Source organism: Homo sapiens, chromosome 6 (assembly GCF_000001405.40).
Source record: "Homo sapiens chromosome 6, GRCh38.p14 Primary Assembly".
Taxonomy (NCBI): domain Eukaryota; kingdom Metazoa; phylum Chordata; class Mammalia; order Primates; family Hominidae; genus Homo; species Homo sapiens.
This window is the reverse complement of record NC_000006.12, coordinates 6,237,856-6,260,086: the sequence shown is the minus strand read 5'-3', so window position 1 is coordinate 6,260,086 and position 22,231 is coordinate 6,237,856. Positions and strand designations below refer to the sequence as shown.

The 22,231-nt window shown below is 38.7% G+C and overlaps 1 protein-coding gene across 1 annotated transcript in view; it reads left to right on the top strand.

The window, feature by feature from the left end:
• F13A1 (coagulation factor XIII A chain) overlaps window positions 1–22,231 on the top strand; it is a 176,579-nt gene that overhangs the window by 60,576 nt on the left and 93,772 nt on the right. The window contains exons 5-6 of the mRNA NM_000129.4: window positions 9,158–9,276; window positions 11,668–11,775. Of these exons, the coding sequence (NP_000120.2) occupies window positions 9,158–9,276; window positions 11,668–11,775 (227 nt within the window). The remainder of the gene's footprint in view (window positions 1–9,157; window positions 9,277–11,667; window positions 11,776–22,231) is intronic.

Genomic DNA, 22,231 nt, shown 5'->3' with positions numbered 1-22,231 from the left:
GAGAGAACTGTACCCACAAAGGCAGCAGGAGTGAGACGGGCAGTTATTATGAATTCATCATGTTTTTCTAACTACTCAGGAACTCTGAACTATTGAATGTATTTCACTATTTAAATATAGAATGTTCCAGTTTGGTAGTCTAGCACTAGTGCCAGATAGTGGGTCCTGAAAGATTTAGATTTCTGATATCTGTGCCTAGTACTCTGGAGAAGCAGTGAGCAGTATTTTTGATTGGGCATCAGTTACCTTTAAGGGATCTTTCTCCTCTTGATAAGTTGTTCCCCCATTCCATTCTCCATCACTGCTTTTCCCTCACCTCATTCGACCTCATATCCTTAGCCTCTGGCACACTTGAGGTTTAATAAATGTTTGCTGTGTTGATTTAATAATCCCAAGTAAATACTCTAGGTTCGCCGCACCCTGTCATTACAGATAACTTGTAAATGTAATCTCAGACCTTACCATCTTGAGAAAAGTCAAAAACATATCTGGTGTGCTGGGAGGAGTGTGTCTGTGGGTGATGTGTGTGTGGATTTCTCTATCTCTTAGCATCTGACACCAAATTAGCATCTAATATTTCCTTTTTATTCAATGTGTTTTTTCACTTTTCTTTAAACAAATAAATCAATTTAATTTAATATGAAGAAATCAATATGTTCCCAATATCTTGGATGCTTTTAACAGCAAATAAATAAATATGACCTGCTTGTATTTTATCATTAAATTCATCCTTAGCCAATTTGCTTTGTATTTATATAAGGTCTTTTTAGCCCCTTTCATACAGAATGGAGTAAGTAACCAAGACTGGTGTCCTCAGAGTAACAATGACCCACATTCCTTCTCTTGGAGACTCTTGAGCCCAGACCAGCATTTACGCCCTCAGGCTAGAGCCATTCATCCATCAATCCACAAATATTGATAGTATGTCGCATCCCATGCCCATGACAACACAATGACCTGTGCACAGTACGACAGTATTATGTATTCATTCAGAAAAATTCAAAGTCAATACTGAATTAGGTACTGGGACTATGGCAGTGAAAAAGGCAGACACAATCTTCGTATAGCTTCTAGCAAGGATTTTACAAATGAGCTCCTAATAAAAAACTGATTACAATTGTAAAAAGTACTAAAATAAGTCAGTGCACAAGAAGAACACAAAACTGGGGACTCCGACCTATTTGGGGAACGAGGAGAGACTGGCCAGTGGCTTAGCTTTGCACCTTGGCTAGCACCCAGAACAGTATTTGCATAGGATAGTAATCAAATAGTTGGTTAATTGAATTTTTATGAAGTTTTAATAAAGCTTATGGAAAAATTTTAACCTTTATTTACTCAATATTCCTCTTAAATAAAATAGTATGCATCATTCTTCCTAGTATCTGAGTCATTAGAGACTTATTATGCTTTTTATGCCAAGCGAGGATCATTTAGTGTGGCCCTGTAATCAGAAAGGATCCCAGAGAGCTCACAGTAAACCTTCTTTTCAATGGCATGTAGGTGACCCCAGGATTGAGGTGCAAAGGTCTTTACAAGGTGTTTCTAGAAAGAGCATGGTTGGAAGTGTCTAATGCAGAGACACATTCACCCACCAATTCATGTGGTTTACAATTCCTTCCTTGTAGAGTCTCTTATATGCTTCAAAGTGTGCTCATAGTCAGTATCTCCCTAGATTGTGTGTTTGGAAGGTGTAATCCTTATCTCATTCAGCCTTTCGTGGTGCCTGGAATTGAGTCAATGTTCAGTAAATGTTTGCTGAACTGAACTGATAATCACCATTCTGAGAGGCAAGGAGACGATTATTAGACTCAGATTTCAAGAGAGAAAGCAGGTTCTGTGATGTTACGTGCATTTCTCAAAGTCCTATAGAAAATTAAGAAACAAACTGAGGCTAACCCTGGAGCATCCTGACTCTGTCAAGGTAAGCACTTATATTTTTAAAACAAAAGCCATCAGTATCTGGCATTGTGTAACAAAAGAAAAAAAACCAATAGATGGCCAGCCGAGAAGATTCTGTAATGACCTAATCAACGTGGAAATTTCTGCCATAATAAATAAATACATAAATAAATAAATAAATTCAGGTTGATATTTACAAGATCAAATGAAAGCTTTCTCTGGGAAAAAAAATTAAAGCATACCAACAAGGGCACAGGCTCCCTTAGAGGATATGTGCTAAGTAAAGAAGCTCTGACATTTTCTTTGTAGAATTGCTTCATGAATAATAGTCTATCTTCTGAAGATATCTCAGTACACTAAAAAGCCCTTAACCAGCAAAACAGGCAAATTAGCACAAATCCAGTAACCTTCTCAAGCTGGTGTGAGCTGTAATGCAGCATGTTTGTAAGGAATGTAAACTATGTTGTACTATGCACGCACGGATGATTGTGCTGTCGTGAGCACTGTGGGAGATATACTATCAATATCTGTGAATTGATGGATGAATGGCAGTAGCCTGAGGGTGCAAATTCTGGTCTAGGCTCAAGGGTCTCCAAGAGAAGCGGTGTTAGTCATTGTTATTTCGAGGATACCAGTCCTGGCGAACTACTCTACTTTATACTGAAGGGGCTAAAAGGAAAGAAGCAAACTCAACTGACTATTGAGGAACCATTTGCTTGTGCTTCATAGATTGATTCCATTCCAGTGTTACTAGATAGGCAAGCAACGTCTCTGGAGTGGCTATATGAAACCATTTTAGGAAGGCAGTGCGTTTGGATCCTTCCAGAATAAAAAGCTCAGACTCTAAAAATGCCATTCCTTAATATGCTCACAATTGCCACCGACAGGAAGTTACTCCTGGTATGCCACAGCACACACAGCCTGTTAGAATCTGCCACCCCTTTTGATGTACTTTGTGATGGAAAAACATATCATGGTGACACCAGTCCGGAGTCACATTTGCTCTGCAGATCAAGCCACTCCCTCTAAGAGTGATTACACACTCCCAGCATGAATCTTTCCTCTTTTTAGTGGTGCTCAGCTTTTATATAAAGGGGGAAGCAAGTGTAAGTGATTCCTAATCCCCTCGCTCTAAATTCCTTCCTTCCCTAAATGGTGACTCATTTTGCCTTTTGGAAGGGCCAAACCATTATTCCTTCTAAAGGATTAGAAACAACACCAAACTCTGGTTTAAACTGTTGAAAGAGACCATGTAGGTTAGCTGTTCTAGCACCATAGTTTTGTTTAATTCCTGGGCTCCCTTTGCCAGACTTGAGCCTAATGACCAAGGAAATGGAACTTGCTCTGACTTTGAAATAGCATGTAAATAAGCAGAAGGAATGTATCAGCCCATGCAATGATGAATGATCTTCCTTCTCACAAAGAGGTTATACAGATACTAAAATCAGTAGGCTCAGCATTTGTTTTTACATGTTTGTTATAAATCCTTACCTTCTCTGGGTCGGGAGGACAGTGGGAATGTCAGAGGGTGACTGAAATCCACCCCAAATTTTCTTGGCCCACTCTTTTCTTTTTTAACTACCCTTCCATTCCCACCAGAGGAACAGTAAAATAAATGAGGTCATTATTCTTCACTACATGCCTCTTGTAAATTGTTAGTCAGCCTGCAAGGGTGGTTATTTACGAGGCATTTTGAAGGTCTGTTCTGGTGACAGAGTTGCTCTGGGCAGTGGATGGAGGTGCTGTGTCACACTCACCAATGGTGCCATGTGTAATCTGTTTTTCTCAGAGTTTTATCGTAATGGTGGTTGTCTGCCAGAGGTCACCTACGATCAAAGAGTTGTCAGTTGGTCCAAGGTGCAGCCGCTCCTACTCTGGGAGCTGTCTAGACCTTATTTCTCCCCTCAGTCCTCAGTTAAGTATAGTTTCCAGCTCCCACATTCCACACAAGCCTCATACACGTCTACCTTCTACCAGTCCAAATTGTTGGGTTTCTAGAATAGTGAGTTGTTTGTTAGTTTGTTTTTCCTATTAGTCGAGCCTTCCATTTTACTAAGTGAAGAACTAGCTTCCCCTGAAACTTAGTGAAACCCCACCGCTCTGAAGCTAACCAAAAATTTAAAAACAAACGAAAACACTATCAAAAAGCCAACAGCAAAAATCTCCAAGGGCAAATGATTACATTTTTCTATTTTTGTTAGCCTTCCAAACATAGGGAGTTTTTTTGGAGTTTCCATCGTGATACAATTTTTTTTAACCTTGCTTTGGACAACTATATTTTAAAGTGACAGATCTGAATAAAAACGGGAAATAAAGCACTGCTTTCCACCCTCAATCTTCTTTTTAAAATCATAAATAAATTTAAAATTAAAATCGAGCCTTCCCATTTGACTTCCTTGCCATACTGTGGATTCATGATAATGTCTGCCTGTTTGAGGTGAGATTTAATTCAAGTGTTGGAAGGGAAAGGGTGGCCTAGTCTGGAGCTCCAGAACTCCTCTCTATCATGCTTTGCCACTTAAATTTATCACTTCCCATCAATACTAACGCAAAGCCCAAAGGTAAATCCTTCATTTTCTTGGACTTCTTCCTTACTCTCTAAGCTCCAGACATCTTCCCCATCTCTCATTCTTTCAGTACACATTGATTGATTTCCTACCGTGTTCCAAGGCACAGTGTTGGGGGCTGGGGACGCAGTCATCCGATCCTTTGGACCCAAGAGCCATGGACTACTTAGAAGGCAGCTTATTCAAATCCTAGCTTCACAACTCACTAGCTGCATGACCTTGGAAAAGTTATGTTTCTCTCTGCCTCAGTTTCCTCATCAGTGAAATGGGGCTACTTTCCTCACAAGGATGTTATGAGTGTTGATGAGTTCATGTGTCTTGTTATAAAGCACTTAGAAAGTTCCTGGCCATAAATAAGCAGTATAACAATGCTTATTTACATGCTACTACTTAAAAAAAATTAAGAAGTAAATACTTAAACACATACTTATTCAATAAATATAATCATTAAACGGCAATGTCCATACAGTGGGATAAATGTTACCCCCGCCTCCATAGGGCACTAAGGGAACAAGGTTTAATTCAATCTGTGCTGGAAAGGAAAGGGTTCAGGGAGACTTAAAGAAGGAGAAAAAAGTTGTGTTGAAGGACTCTGATAATAAAAAAGAGCACAACCCTATATTGCTCTTAAAGAAAAACTAATGCACAAAAGTTGGACTTGTTAATCTCTTTTTAAATGGGTAGCTTCACTTAAATGGAAACACATTTTAGAAAATAACTTTATCTGATGGAAAAGTCTCATTATAGAAATAAAAAATAATAAAAGCATAAAAAGAGCTCAAAGATCTACAAATTAGAGACACTAACAATTAACATTTTGTTGTAATGTCATCCATTTAAAGTATTTTCAGTGCTTTTCATTTTTAATTGGCAATTAATTGAATATATTGTTCTTTTCAAATAAACACACATGTACATTTACATGGCTAAAAGAAAACTTTCCTTTTCACCAATCTTCCAATCCTAGAGAATCCCCAGGGAAAACCAACTTTAACTGTGTATATCATTACAGATACTTTGCTATCATTTTATGTATTGATGGCATATATATACCTAGAGAATTTAGGTTTTTTAAAACCACAAAAGAGATTGTGTCAACCTGTTGCTCTGTACCTCATTTTCTCACTCAGTATATCTTGGAGCGTTTTCTATATCAGTACCTGCATCTTCTTTTTAATGGCTGCTTGGTATGGTCATATCATGTTGTTTTGGTGTTTTGTTTACAACTATTTGGATTGTTTCCCATTTTTACTATAGCACGTTATGCCATTTTGAAGGTTGCACATACATTTTGTACAAATGTTACTGTAGAATAGACATCTAGAAATAGCATTGGGCAAAGTGAATTCACATTTTAAATTTGCATAGATATTGCCTAATTACCCTTCTAAAAGGCTGCAGTATTTTACACTACAGCCATAGTAGATGAGAGTATCCATCTCTTCATACCCTCATTGGCACTGGTGGTTAATCATTTGTTTTAATATTTGCCGATATGGTAGGAGAATTATGGTATTTCATTGGTATTTCATGGTTAATTTGGTTTTTATGTCTCTGATTGTTAGTGGAGTTGAGCATTTTTTCATATATTTATTGAACGTTATGTTTCTCTACCTGCTTATATCTGGAACATGTCAGGTGAAATAAAGATCGTCAGGGAGAGACACACATGTGCCTCTTAAATCTATGGATACAGTTTGTATATAGTAGGATAAAGAGATCTTACTGACACTTTTTTTCTTACATAGATAACCAGCTGTCAAAACACCACGTATTGATCAGATCTATTTTTACCTATTGATTTTAAGGGCCATCTTTATTATTTACTAAGATTTAATACACATCTAGCTCCTTCCATATATTTGTCCATTACTGTGCTAATGTCAGTTTTAAGTGTAGCTTTGTTTCAGTTAGCTATAATCACACTAATGCTACATTAAAAAGAACCAGAAAATCTTAGTGGCATACAACAATAAGCACTTACTCAGGGATCTGGGGCTTGGCTGGGATTGGGCTCATCCAGACTGGGCTTGACTAGCCAGCTCTGCTTCCGGTGGGAACAGCTGGAGAGGATCCGTCTCTCCCTGAGAGCTCCGGAGACCCTCTGCTCTGGTGCCTCTCATCCTTCTTTGACCAGTGGGCTTGCTGGGTCATATTTTCCTCAGGGTAACAGCAGATTTGTATGATCACATGCTCAGCTGCGCAGTCATATTTTAGACCCCTACTTGCTTCTGCTAACATTGCTTCTGCTAACACCCCATTAGCCAAAATAAGCCTAAAGTTAAGAGAGGATATTCCACATTTAGAGGGAAGAACTGCTAGTTACATGGCAAAGGGCATAGATGCAGGAAACTATAAATTGGGGTCCAAAGTTTAATTTACCTTTGGGCAAGTCCTTCAATCTTTCTTCTTTTTCAACATATTAGTTTTTGGCTATTTTCTCTCTCTCTCTCTCTCTTTTTTTTTTTTTTTTTTTTTGGGACAGATTCTAGCTCTGTTGCCCAGCCTGGAGTGCAGTAGTGCTATCTCGGCCTCCTGGGCTCAAGCGATTCTCCTGCCTCAGCCTCCCGAGTAGCTAGGATTACAGGCACACACCACCATGCCTGGCTTATATTTTTATTTTTAGTAGAGATGGGGTTTCACTGTATTGGCCAGGCTGGTCTCAAACTTCTGACCTCAAGTGATCCACCTGCCTCAGCCTCCCAAAGTGCTGGGATTACAAGCATGAGCCACCACGCCCTGCCTGGCTGTTTTCTTTCACATTGTTTTTTCCAGATAAGCTTTTGAATGAGCATGCAAAGTTCCAAAACTTCTGAGTAGAAGTTTGGTTGGGTTCACATTGGTCATATAGACTAATTTGGGTAGAATTTATATCTTTACATTACTGAATGTTCACATCCAATTGGAAACATTTTGTATGTGTTCATTTTGTATTTCAGTTTTATATCTTTTGACAAAGTTAATTTTTCTTATAAATATTTTCAGATAAACTCAAAAGCAGAAAGAGTAGCACAATGAATATCTACTTATATGACTCTCAGAGTTAATGGTTATCAAGATTTTGCCACATTTGCTTTATCTATCCCTTTTTTCCTTATTTTTTGCCTTAGCATTTTCAAGTAAATTCTAGTAATCATATTATTTTACCTGTACATATTTTAGCGTGTAGCTTTTTAAAAATAGACATATATACAGTATACATAGATACATATGTACATATGTGTGTATGTATGTGTTTATGTGTGTTTGTGTATAATTATTGCAGCTAATACAAATCAACAAGAGCTCCTTGGTATTATCTAATGAACCATCTTTAATTTTCCCAATGTCTAAAAATTATCTTTTTAGTTAGTTTATTTGGATTAAGGTCTGTAGATTAAATTTGGTTGGTATGTCACTTAAATCTTTTCCTCTAGAGTAATCCTCTTCATCTGTTTCTTCATGCCACAAACTTATGGCTGAAACTGAGTCATTTTTTATGTAGAACTTTCCATATTCTGAATTTTGCTGATTCCATCCCCCGGTGTCATGAAATATTTTTCTCTAACCACTGTGGGATTTTTTTTTAACCACTGTGGCATTTTCTGTTAAGCAGCTGGTTAGATCTACAGACTCTGTCAGATTCAGCTCCAAGTGGCATTTTTTTTTTGGAGGAAGGGGCAAAAATATTTCATAAGTCACGCCATTGCTTCCTAGGACATTCATCCTGGCAGAAGATACATATATTTAGGTTTGTCAATAGTATCTGGTTCACGTTTTATCAGTCTCATCCACCCGTTACGAAGTTCTCTTCTTAACGAATTATTTCTGCCTCAATTCGTTACTTCATTAGGGATTGCAAGATCGTGACATTCTAATTCTACCATTCCTTTTGCATTTATTATAATCAATTATTTCGTTACCTTGAGGTAGAATTCGTGTAAAAACGCTTAGATGCCTGTCCCAAACACACACATTTTCCTGAGTGCGATTTACACTTGTAGGGTCCTGTCTGTGTTAAAGATGCTTTGCTGCTCTCCCACCAGGCCTGGGAATAAGTACCAGACTGATGATAGACGGGGAGGATGATCCTCCTGAAATTCTAGCCACAGGGAAGAAAAGTCCTTGCAATGAAAGACACTGGCCAGGGAAGCTGGTTGGACACACACACATACTTGCACATTCACAAGTATCTTTCATTAAAAGGAGATGACCTACTGCTTCCCTCCTGCCAGTGATGGGCCACAAAACAGACATGACACGTGGGCCTTCTCACGTGTCCCAGATTTGTTTTAAAAGTCATTTTCAATTCATCTAGTTTTCTATTAATGTTAAAAGGTTGGAAATTATATTTTAATTAGTGTTAGAGACGTACATCAGCATCATAGAATTCTGAAACTACTGATGCAACAGAATCATAAAATGTTTAATGAGACATATCAATTTAATTCTGCTGCTTGGAACTTAAAGAGCCAGAGTTCGTCAGCATTTTGCTAACAAATGTCATCATTTACAGACTGAATTTGGTGCTGATTATGTTCACCATTACTAAAAATATTGGGAAATGAGCTATGCTTGGTGAAACAAAGGGCATTTTTTAAAAATTTGGCTGATTAAATGTAGTTTAGAAACAAAATAAACTTGCATAAACTTGCAAGTGTTTGGAAACAGTCTGGTTTGGTAATAGTCACTATGTTTAAACCCTGATGCAGATGATGCTGTGTATCTGGACAATGAGAAAGAAAGAGAAGAGTATGTCCTGAATGACATCGGGGTAATTTTTTATGGAGAGGTCAATGACATCAAGACCAGAAGCTGGAGCTATGGTCAGGTGAGCCACTTAAAATTTGTTATTGTCAAGGACATTTTTACTTCATATTTTTTGTCACATGTATCCCTACAGGATCCCATATATCGATATTAGACAAGCACAATTTCCTGCTTTTTAGGATCTGAGACTCCAAGGCAGAGAGCATAGGAGTAGGGACTCATAAAGACAACTGCGTAATTTATCAGCTGAAACCACATATCTCTGGGTATTACAGTGTTACAGAAATGAGAGATTCCATGAATAATGTGGCATTCTATTGAGAAATGCTTTGGCCACTTAGAACAGTGAAATCTCATTAGTTCAACCTGGCTTATAAAGAAAGGTATTTTCAAAGTGATGCAAAGAATACTGCAAGGGGTGTGCCCAATTCAAAGAAATAGCTTCTTTTTTTTTTTTTTTAAGTGTTAGCCTAGGGTACTGCTAATTAGAAAAGAGTGTTATCATTTCATCAAAGGAAGGGCCACTGAGCTTTTACATAGAAAGATTTTATCAGCTGCAAGTTGATTGTCTAGACACAAAGTAGCAAATGGCATTTCTTTAAGATGTTCAGTCATTCAAACTATTTCAGTTTGGTATCTTTAACAATGGAGCAAATGAATGATATTTTACCAATTTTCCATAAATGAATGCATGTCCTGTGATTTCAAAATGATTTTTAATTAGCGACACAAGCGGGGGCGAATGTCATTTCTCAGGAGTTTTGGCTGGGATGGCTGGAACTGTGCATCATTGCGCTGGGCATCCAGCAGGGAGTTTTCATGGAATCTGGTGGTCACAGGGTACTTTCTTGGCTCCGGATGCCTTGCTTTGACTTCCATATGGGATCTCCCTGTGTTCCTTACCCACTGCTCCAGTACCCGTGTTATCCTGCCTACCTGGCTTTGTGAACAGCTTCCCTGACTCCGGAGAATTACATGCCCAGTGCTCAGGCTTCCCCGCCTGCATTTCTAATGTCCTGCCAAGCTACAAGCTAGTTGGCACCCCCTGTTCTTGGATTCCTGCCTGACTCCCTGGTTTCAAGCCATCCCCTCCTCAGTGACATGCAACCTTTGACTATACTGCCTACTGCCTGATGCCCTTGTCTTGGGTCCCCAATTTCTAGCCTTTAGCCTGGTGATTCTATTTATGGCCCAAATATGACAATCTATAGATAGCTAACAAGGGGAAAAGTCATCAAGGTGGGCAGCAAGGAGGTCTGGAAAAGTGTCCCAAGCCCAGTCAGGGCACTCTTCGCCAGCTTGCCTTTGGGTAGGCACCCTGGAGCACAGTCACTTGATTGTATCTTCTGCCACTCAAAGAGGCTATTGGTGTGTATCCTTTGGCCAGAATAACCAGCCAAGCATGTTTACAGTGATGCAGGGAATCAATCCGTTCTATGACTATTTCCTTAACTCTCCAGTTAGTTGCTATCCTGCCCAGCAAACACAGCTGAGAGAAGCTGCTTAATAAGAACCAAAATACTGAGCTATTTGCATACCTGAAGAACTAGTGCAATTACCCATTACTGCATCCATCCTGTCAGTTTGGGATACACCCAGAGTGGGTATTCTAACTGGACTGAATAAAGAATTGTGTGGTAATTAGCCATTATGATTGTGGTTTCTGTCACAAGCACTTGGGTGGATAGCACACAAGGTTTCTCTATTCAGGAAAATCTCTTACTACAGTGAGGTACAGTATAGGTAAAATCTTCCTGTCTTGCTATTTGATCTTTATTCCTTTTTAAGAAAATTCTGGTATTGCCTGTGGCTAGCAGTTCTTTCTAAGAAGACTGAACTGGTACCAGACTCCTCCCTTGATAGTGTAATCTACTTTCTGCAGCCTTCTGCCCTCTCCTTGATCCTGGGGTCCACCTTGTCTCAGAAGAGGGGAAACCTTAGAGGGACAGTCACTATATGAGGTCTCCTACTATTTTGGGTGCAAACTAAGTAGTGTGAAGCACCTTCCTGTGATACACCTGAGAGCTCTTTATTTTCTAAATGCACGAGGATTCACATTACTTTCGAGGTCCTAAGACTCTGGCCTGACTTTGGTAAATGATTCATTCCTTCTTCTTGGGTACAGGAGCCAATATGTTGAAAAGACCTTCTAAATTGAATCATTTTCTGAAGAACTTCAAGTCAGCTTATGATCCCTGAGTATATCAACTCTCTAGTATTTCTGTTTATGTTTCTGGCTTGCTTTTATATTCTTATTCACTTTAATGAAAAACAAAAGAAGATGTCTCATTCCTTCTACTTTAATATTTCATACTAAAGATTATGGGAGATCACTATACAGGAAACACACATTTCTAAACATTAGGTTGTGGTTTCATGTTATTTTTCATCAGAGAATATTTTGCTTGCAGAGTGAACACTAGTTTCTCTTTGTTTTTCTTTCTCCAAATAGTTTGAAGATGGCATCCTGGACACTTGCCTGTATGTGATGGACAGAGCACAAATGGACCTCTCTGGAAGAGGGAATCCCATCAAAGTCAGCCGTGTGGGGTCTGCAATGGTAAGCAGCAATTACTGATACCTAAAATCTGTTACACCTGTCATTTGCCTCAGTATATATGCCAGTTCATTAAGAGCTGCTGAAATGATGACTTACACTTAATAAACTTTCATTTGTAAGATTCTAGCTTCTGACACCCAGTTATAGCTCCTGGAATTTTCTGAGCTTATCATGTGCTATAAAACAAAATTATCGTCTCAATACTGTATGTTTCTTTGGCTTTAGAAAACAATGATAGATATAATGATACTGTAGACCAGTTATTCTTAAGAACCCCTTGCCTAGAGACTGAGGAGTGATCATGACAAAAATGTCAATGACTATAATCAAACAGTTGATCAACCAAACATCAAGGTGCACAGAAGATGTGCAAGGCACAGCTTTTCTCAATTTTCACACTGATAGTAAGAGTGAAGAAATGAATGGCTACATCTCATCCTAACTCCTGTCACAAGGATGTGTCACTGTAGGGCTTTCTCACTTACGAAGTGGGTATTGATTCTTTGCAGGATCCTGTGTGGTAAGTAGGGCAGCCATTACTCATGCACTTTTACAAGTTAGGACACAGGGTAAGGACAGCTTTCAGTGACAAAGCCACAGCTAGAACTCCGGTCTGCTGACTTCAAATCTAGACATTTTCTACTTTTCATGCCGCTCTCTGCAGGATATCCTAAAACAACTTTGAGAATGCAGAGATCTTGCAGTGGAACAACTTTCTGAGAAAGGAGATAGAACTCCCATGAGTGGGAAGGGTGGGCCAGGCATAGGACGTGGATTAAATGGGATGTCCAGGACCCATGCAGTCCTGGATTATATCAATGTACCCAACATGGAGAGCCAGATGTTGGTACAGAGAAGTAGACCCAATCTGGCTGAAGAGTAGATTATTTCTGAAGAAATGTTAAACTGGGTGGTATTTCAAACAATCAAAGACTGAAAAAAAGAAATACTTATATTACCAATTTCCCTAAGTTTTCTAAGAAATCCTCTTTTTGAAAGAATGTTATGTTTGAGTTTGGTTTGTATATTCTTTTGAGCTAAATGAAATCAATATTGTTAATATAAAAATATTAGACTGTGAATGATATGAAATATAATTTCTGGTTAGCTTTTAAGAATGGTGGCTTTTATTTTATTAATAACTAAGCTACATGTGAATTTAAGAAACAGCAGAGCATAAAAAGTAAAAATAGAAACCAACATGTAAAGGCAGTTTTGTTTCCTATGCATTTACATTCCATAATGGGAAGCCAATGAATTCCAAAGATTTGGGGGAATGTTGAATTTGGGAAATGTTTACCAAAGTGTCATGACCGTTTATAACAAATATATTAGACTTGCATCTGATCACTATTTTTACTGTTTCGCCCACAAGATTTCTCTTTTTCTTCTTTGAAGTTACCATAACAATTTTGCAGTAAGAAAGGAAGCAACAGCTAGCAGTGGTTAAATTTAAATTAATTCCTTCTTAAGCATTCTAAAATGGCACACTCATCAGCATAAGCTTACTCACACACTGTGTGTACTTTTACGCACCCAGAAGTCAGAAATCACTGCCTAGCAGAAGCCAGTGCAAAAGAGAAGCAGACAGGAAGCAGTTAACCTAATGTGTCTGTGGTGGCAGCTGGCTAAGCGGAAGCTGTTAATTATTGAATAAGCACACATACTCCTAATGCAAATTGCCCTGAGATTTTATTAATCATGTAAAGCCTATGAAGTTCTAAGTTTGAAAATTTATATCCCAATTAAAAGATTTAAAACTAGACAGAGAAAATCCATTTGGAAAACGGTTTGGTTTTATTTTTGGAGGGGGAGAATTTGGGTGTTAAGGGGTAGAGGTCCTGACCTGAGACATTTTGAGCAATATTTCCATTTCCGTCATACCCTTGTTTATATACACAAAATATTCAATGGTTTTCAAAAACACTTTCACCTCTATTAGCTCCTTTAAACCTTAGAATACCTCTGTGAATCTTTCCAAAATCTGTTCCGTTTTAATAATTTTAAAAGCTAAAATACTGAGCCTCCAAAAATCAATTTAAAAAATGACACAGAGGAAAGATCAAGTGTTCTTTGGTCATTCAGGCAGATACTCTCCCGTTCACAAATCCTGGAAATCTATCATGAAATTTCTGAATGCAGTTAAACAAAGAACAAAGACAAAAAAAATCTTTAAATTTCTCAATGAATGATTTGACTTTATTAGTATGAAAAGATGTGCCTAGAGAGCCCACAAGAAAATGTTCTGAAGTTGTGGACTCTTAGCCAGAACCCTGTTGCAGGGCGACAGAGCTGTGTGTGTTTTCTCAGGGGCTGGGCCCAGGCCTCACAGGTAAAACAGAGGCTGGTGCAGAGTTGTTCTGAATTCCTCTCAAACACCTCCCAGCCTGGTCATAGAGGCTAGAAATCCCATTCGCAGGTTGCAAATGCCAGAGCAGCGGTATAGGTGGCATGTGGACTCTCCAGAAGAAATAGCACATAGATCTCAGTTCATCCCCAGGTGAGAGTGAAGGAAGGCAGAACTTTCCTGAGGGCACTTGCTGCTGGGAAACAGTGAGGATGAGCAGACCAGTCTTTGCTGGGTATCTGGAGAGAGTGGAGCTGGGTGGGGACAAGATGCAGAGCACACGACTGGGGCCCCAAAGACAAATTTGCTTACTGTGGTCCAGGACAAGTCTAGCACTGAAGGTTGGCAAGGAGTTTTCAGGCAACAGGTGGGTGCATGTTGAAAAAAGCACCGATAACCCAAATTGTGCAAACTTTCAATCATAATAAGAATCTGAATTTGGGCCAGGAACGGTGGCTCACGCCTGTAATCCCAGCACTTTGGGAGGCCGAGGCGGGCAGATCACCTGAGGTCAGGAGTTCAAGACCAGCCTGACCAACATGGAGAAACCCTATCTCTACTGAAAATACAAAAAATTAGCCAGGCATGGTGATGCATGCCTGTAATTCCAGTTACTCAGGAGGCTGAGGCAGGAGAATTGCTTGAACCCGGGAGGCAGAGGTTGTGGTGAGCTGTGATCACACCATTGCACTCAAGAGTAAAACTCCATCTCAAAAGGATTTTAAGTGCACAATCCCCAGATAAAAATATTTATTGTTCAGTATATTTATATTTATTGTATGTGACCTTGGGTAATTGTTTGTTGTAGAAGGTTGTCCTGTGTAGAATGTTTAACGACATCCCTATCTTCTACCTGGGGGATGCAAGTTGTCATAACTGTTCCCTTACCAGTTGTGACAACTCAAACTGATTCCACATATTACCAAATGTCTACTGGGGGTAAAAATCACCCTTAGTGAGGATGACAGCACTAAACCCCTCTGTGACTCAGTTTCTCCACCTATGGAATGTAAGTAACACTCTCTTCTCACCTGCATAGCGAATCTGTCTTCCTAACTCACTCAAAACCTGCTGGTTTTCATCCTTGACTGAAAAGAAAGTGAAGGCAGCATCATATGGGAAGCGACTCAGCTCGTGTCGAGGGATTGGACCTTGATTCTGGTTGTGCTATTAACTTACTATGTGACCCAGGGTAAATAACTCACCTCTGCTGGCCTCGCATCTTTGTCTTTAAAGTGAAATTTTGTCTCTGTACTCAAACCACATTGGCAGCAAGAATACTCTTTTATTCTTCAAAATAGTGCTCTCCCTTCTTCTATTTTTTCCTTTATACATTCAGTAACTTCCCTTGTTCTTATATTGAGTTGCTGTTATTTCACTTTGATGTAAAAGTAGGAAAAGTTATGACAATCTGGACAGCCTGGGGCTATTGGAGTTTCCCAGGAGAAAGCAAGTCCAAAATCCTGTATTCTCATCATCTAGAGATTAGGCCTGAGATATTATAACCTTACATAAGCTAACTTTTGCTTAGGCTCCTTTAAATACTGAGTGGTGCATTTTACCAAGCTATACTGCAGATTGATTTAAGAGAGAAAAGAAAAAAAAGAGAAGCAATTAGAAAAAATGAAGAAACTTGCCCACAGTTATACTTCTCCCTTTAAATTGCATTGCTTGATTGCTGCTTTCTTTTCAATGCATTTCTGATGTGACAGTTCCCACCAGGAAAATTGCCAGAGAAAGCTAAGGAGAATGCTTAACTTTGTGCCATCCGAACACTTACTTCCCTCACATGGCATTAATAAAGCATTCTATTGCTAGCCCCAAGTTTCTGTGAATAAGCCAGACATGGACTCTGAGCCCTGAGTCAGACTATCAAAGAAGGTGGGCCGTGACATATTGTGACAAGGGCAGCATGGTTCTGGGGAAAAGGGAAGGCTGTGCAACCACCTGGCATTACTGCGGCGTGGTTACCTGTCTATGCCTGTTCCTGCCTCCCGACTGATAGGATCTGGCAGCAACTATGGGCAGAGAATTTCCCCCAAGGAGATGCAGCTGCTTCTGCAAAGGCTGCCGCTACTGCAGATAAAGGCTCGTTATTCACTGTGACACACCTACATGTACCACCTCCATCCATATTTGCTCCAGTGGGTCAAGGCATTACCAGTGGAGGATCTGTGTCGAAACACATGCTGAACCAGCGTGTGCAATGGGGAGGACTCTCCAAGAGTCTTCTGGGTGAGGAAGCAGAAGCCCTTGGAAGTGGTGTCCCTCACTCAAAGTCACACAGCAAATAAGTGGCTGAGCTGAAACCAGATATGGTCCTTACTCTCAGATCATATTACCTTAGAGGGCCACTATCAACACGTTATTGCCAATAACACAATAATTATGTAAGATTGAATTGCCATTTCCTAGAAAAGAAGAGAGCCCCAAGGGAATGGAGCCCAGATGAGGCAAATTATTGAAAATGGGGAATAAGTGAAGAAAGGTATCAATCAGAGGATTCTAAATAGCCATAGGCACTGGGGCCCTGGAGAATGAGCTTCCAAAGACGATCAGGTACCAAATATGATATGATAATGGTGGTGGTGTTTGGTGGTGGTGGTGATAGAGTTAGTGATGATGGTGGTGGTGACGGTGGTGGTGATAGTGATTGTGATAATAATGGTGGTGATGGTAGGGTGATTATGGTGGTGATAGTGATGATGATGGTGATGGTGGTGGTGGAGATGGTGACGGTGATGGTGGTGGTGATGGTAGGAGTGATGGTGGTGGGAGTGATGGTGGTAGTGGTGGTGATGGCGTAATGTGGTGGTGGTGGTGATTTATGATGGTGGTGATAGTGGTAGTGGTGGTGGTGATGGTGGTAAAACACTCAGTATTTACTCATTTGTTTGACAAATGTTTATGGCAATCTACCAGTCTGAACACTGGAGTACAATTGTGAACAAAATTAAGTTTCTGCCTTCACAAAGCTTACAGTCTAACAGAGAACACAGACTAGTAAATAGAAAATTTTAGCTCAGCATGGCAAATTCTGTGATGGAAATAAGCATAGGGTTGTATGGGAAAGCAAATCTCTCAAATGTAGCTCAAAGGTTTCCCAGGACTAAACATTGGATCAAAAGATAGAAGAATGTCTGAGGTCCCACAGTAATTAACCATGCTATTATTTGAAGAAACCCTTTCTCCATGGTGGAAATTATATACAAACAGCTAGTCACCAAAAGCACTGAAGAAAAATGTAGTAGAGGGTTATTTGCTCTTCTGGGGGCTTGTTTGTTTTGCAATTCAGAAAACTAAGGTTGACACAACTGAAGTTTATTCCATAGGATCTCAACATTTACAGTTACTTGATCCATGGTATTCTGATTCAGTTGTAGTAAGAAAAAAGGTAATATTAATGAGAAAATTAGGAAAGTAGGAGGAGAGAAAAAAACGTCAATATAGTTACATATTTTTAAATTTCAGTGTTTGTACTGCTGCCATCCTGGACTATCCAGCTTCCCTTGAGATGTATGCATTTATTTTTAACCCTGGCCTTTTGCTAATATCGAACCACAATGCCATCATTAATCCCCATTAATACTTTGCTCTGACTATGCCTTTTGGGAACTAACTCATGACTAAACTTTTTTAACCAATCGATGTTCGATGTACTCTTTAGCATTGTAAAAAAATCTTGAACTTCAGCTAGTAAATCAAACTGACCACAATTCGGAGTAGGTCCTGGATTTTTCTAGGACACAGTACAAGATGAATGACTGTAGACCTTTGAGATGAAATGGACTTTAGTGCTTCTGATCCTCATGCATCTGTGATCCTACAGATAAACAGAAAATAAAGTTATTTTCCCTTTGTCCATCTTTTCCTCCCCCTCTTTTTGTCCCAGTATTTAGAAAGATTTTTTTCTTTCCATGCATGAAAAAGACAGTAATGACATAACTACTTTTATATCTTGCCAAGCAGCTCCTCAAGGGGTTAACTATAAAACCATGTTTTGTTCATTTTCTTTCAATTGTTTACTTGGTCATCTTATAGGAAGCTTCACGTTGAGCAAACCTCTTCATGCAACAAACCTTAATTATAAATATTCAGATTACATTTAAAAGTTCACTTTGATTAGAAATTTCACACCTGAGTCATCCCAAATGAACTGTAAAGACAGAAATAAATATATAAAGTTTGTATTTATTTCTAAAGTTTATTCCTTGATCATACAGACCAGTCACAAGGTACTTTCGTAACAGTTTTATTAAGAAAAATTTTAATTACAAAGCAATATCTAACCCATCCTTTGGTTTATAAAGCAGCTTAAACCTCTTTTTTTGGAGTGAACGGTCGTAGATACATCTGAGGACCCAGGTGCTCAATGGGCATTGTCCTTGGCATTTCTAAATCACCAAGGAACTTTTTCACATTTACCCATATGGATTTTAATTTTTGAAAAAGTTCATCTATCAAAACAAATCATGATTATGTAATAATACCTTGTTACCCCATTCTTGTGTCAGATTTATATAACTGCCAATGGGAACTTCTAATGATGGTGGCGGTGGTGGTAATCATCTCTACCAGATAATGAGTATGACCACACTGAATATGATTCGGTGTCACTTTGTGGGGGTAAAGATACAACTTCCATCTGGTCTTTTATAAAAGCGACAACAGCCTACCTGCATTACTAACCCACAGATGCCTAGAGGTCAAAATTCCCCAGGTGGTGACCACTGCCAGATGTAGGTTCCATCATGGACTTGAGTCTCCATCCAGAGCTTCTGGGTCTCCAACCCTATCAGCTTTTATTTAAAAGTGTTATTGTCTCTTTCTATGATTCATATCAGGAATGAAATTTCTCAGTTTGGAACAGCAGAAAAAGGCAGAAGCCTCCGGTGTTCCTTGCAACCTTTCCAATTGTAACGCATATCAATTAGTAGGAGCTCTCGGGGTGACAACTTTGGGAGAATCCACTGATTTATATTAATGAAGAGTGTTACTGTAGTCCAACAGAGTAAAGTACTAAATTACCAACTCTAAAAAGATTTTTTAGAAAACCATTAAAGTTAAAGTCAAGGTATTTCTAAGAATGAAAGTCATTTCTATGATTCTAAAATGACCCAGGGAATTCAATGATGAATGAGAGGTACAGACTCAAAGCAATTCTCTAATGTATTCAAAGTAAACAATACCATAAGGTCACCTTATTCACCAGGGATTTTCATTTCTGTTCATTGAAGATTTTTAAAAAATTGACAGATATATTGGAAGCCAGTGGGAAAATAGAATTTATCTAACAGAAAGTATCTTCATAGCCACTTTTGAGAAATTGCATAAATCCATTCCATAAATAACCAAAGTGCAGGTGGAGAGACTGAGGCATCAGGAAGTTAAGTAACTTTATCCAAGGTTGCTGGTAGCACTGGGGGTGGGTCATGAGTTGCCTGGCCCCACTAATTCACACACAATGTTCTATTTCCCCTGGATTTGTCCTCTGTCTGTCCTCTCTCCCGGTCACATGAGCTCCTTGGATACAGATATAATGCCTTTTACATGTCCTGTCTGATTCAATCCTTCTCTTTCAGGTGGGGGCAGTGGGGGGACGATGAACTGCTCAGACATTATCTTTTTTCTCTTATGGTAAAAGCCAGCAGTGTAATGAAGTTTCCATTTGTGGTCAAACAGCTTGGTTTCTCAATTATTAAGCTTACATTTCTTATGCCTCTTCACCCCATATTTTTGGAGAAAAACAGACATTTATTACAAGGCATCTCTCGAATGTGATAATCATGGGCAATCTAAATGTCTGCTTTCCCTGAATTGCTTCCTGGAATGAGGTTTCAATGCTGCAGCTATTCTGTAATCACACAGGCTATTTCTGAAGCACAGGGATGCTTTACAGCACTCCCTCCAAGCTGAGCGGTTGGTGCTGCTCTGGTCTCCTGGGGCCAGCATCCCCAGGATAGATGGATAGCAAAGGAGCAAAGCAAAGCCAGCTCAGCCCTTTAGGATATGCACAGCTTCATGCACCTTGGGTTCCCTTCATACCCTCTTTCTTTCCCCTGTCTCCTCCTGTTACATCCTTCCCTTTTTCCTCCTCCTGCTCTGCATTTTTCCCTCTCTCATACGTCCATTCCTTTAATTCAGATATTTTTGAGGCCTGTTCTATACCAGCTCTACACCATGCAGCAGTGGTATGGCAATGAAAACAGCAGGCCACACTTGGAGACCTTGAAATCTCAGTTTTCTCTCTCAGTCCACATTTGCTTATTTCTCTCATTATTGTCAATTAGTAAAATATGTTTTGGCCAAATGAGCATCCTCAGATACTGAGAGAGACAAGGTTAATAATTTCCTGTGGTCATAGTTATCATGAAAAATGAGTCTAATTACCCACCCCTATCAGAGCTTGGGTCATATATATACCAAAGGACATTCATATATCGGTAGTTATATGCTTCATACTATTCATTACAGTTAGTTACAGGATTTTTTTTAATTGAAGTAAAATTTACATACAGTAAAAAATCATGGATATTAAATGCACAATTCAATGACTTTTGATTGGGGTAATCACCACCCCAATCAAAATATAGACATTTCCACAAGCTCAGAAGTTTCCCTCGTGCTTCTTCCGGTCAATCCCCACCTCATTAGGTAGCTACTATTCTGATTTCTTGCAATGGGTTACATTTGTCTATTCTTCAACTTTACATAAATGGATTCACACAGTAGAAATAGGGCTGGCTTCTCTTACTCCATCAACTGTTACATGTGTTTTCAATGCTTTCCTTACCATTACTAAGAAGTATTTTATTGCATTGTATATCACAATTTGTCTATCCATTCACCTATTGATGCATGTTTAAGATGTTTCCAATGTGAAGCTATTATGAATACAGTTACTATAAACATTCTTGTACAAGTGTTTTTGTGTATGTGTTTTCATATATCTGGAGTAAATAGCTAAAGAGAGCATGCCTAGATCAGAAAGTATGTATATATTTAACTTTATAAGAATTGGCTAGTTTTCCAAAGCAGCTCTACTGTTTTACATTCCTGCCAGCAACATATGAGAGTTCCAGTTTCTCCACAGCTTCACCTATTCTTGATGTCTTGAACCTTTTTAATTTTAACCAATCAAATGGGTATATAGTGGCATTTCATTGTAGTTTTAATTTTCATTTCCCTGATGGCTAATGATTTTGAGCATCTTTTAATACATTTATTGGCTATATATATATATATATATGCAGCATGTTTTCAAGTCTACTGATTTTCTTATTCAGTCATTTGTACTTTTATTATTAAGTTATAGTTGCTCTGTGTATATACCTCTCATTTGTCAGATATGTATAGAACATATTTTCCCCAAACTATGGCTTGTAGTTATATTTTATAAATGGCATATTTTAAGTAACAAAAGTTTTTAAATTTTATAAAATCAAATTTTTTCATTGTTCTTTAATAGTCATCCCCAGTAAATGTTCTTTCCACATGAAGACTTTCACATGAATCACTATTTGCCCATGTTTGCCACTATTTCTCCTATGTTTTATTTTTGAAGCTTTATAATTTGAACTTTTACATTGTGGTCTATGATCCATCTTGAGTTACCTTTTGGTGTTGTGTGAGGTAGGGATCAAATCTTATTTTTTCCAAATTTATCCATTTGTTCCACCAGCATTTGTTGAAAAGACTGTTGGAAAGGCTTTCATTCGTTGCAAAGAGTTTCTTTGTTGAAAAGACTGTCATTTTCTTCATTGAATTGCTTTGGTGACTTTGTCAGAAATCAAATGTCTACATGAGTATGGATCTATTTCTAGACTCTCTTTTCTGTTTCATTAGTTTATATGTATGTCCTTATGACAATACCACACTGCCTTTTTTACTGCTTTCCTCTAGTAAACCTTCAAATCAGGTAGTCATTCATTTTTGTTCTTCTTTTTCAATATTATGTTTAATTATTCTAGATCCTTTGTATTGCTATGTAAATTTTGGAAACAACTTTCCAGCTTTAATGAAGTGCCTATTGGCATTCTAACTGTCCCGTTGTCTTGATCTATTAAAGAAGTATTAAAATGTAGCCTATAGCCATCTTCCAGTGATAGC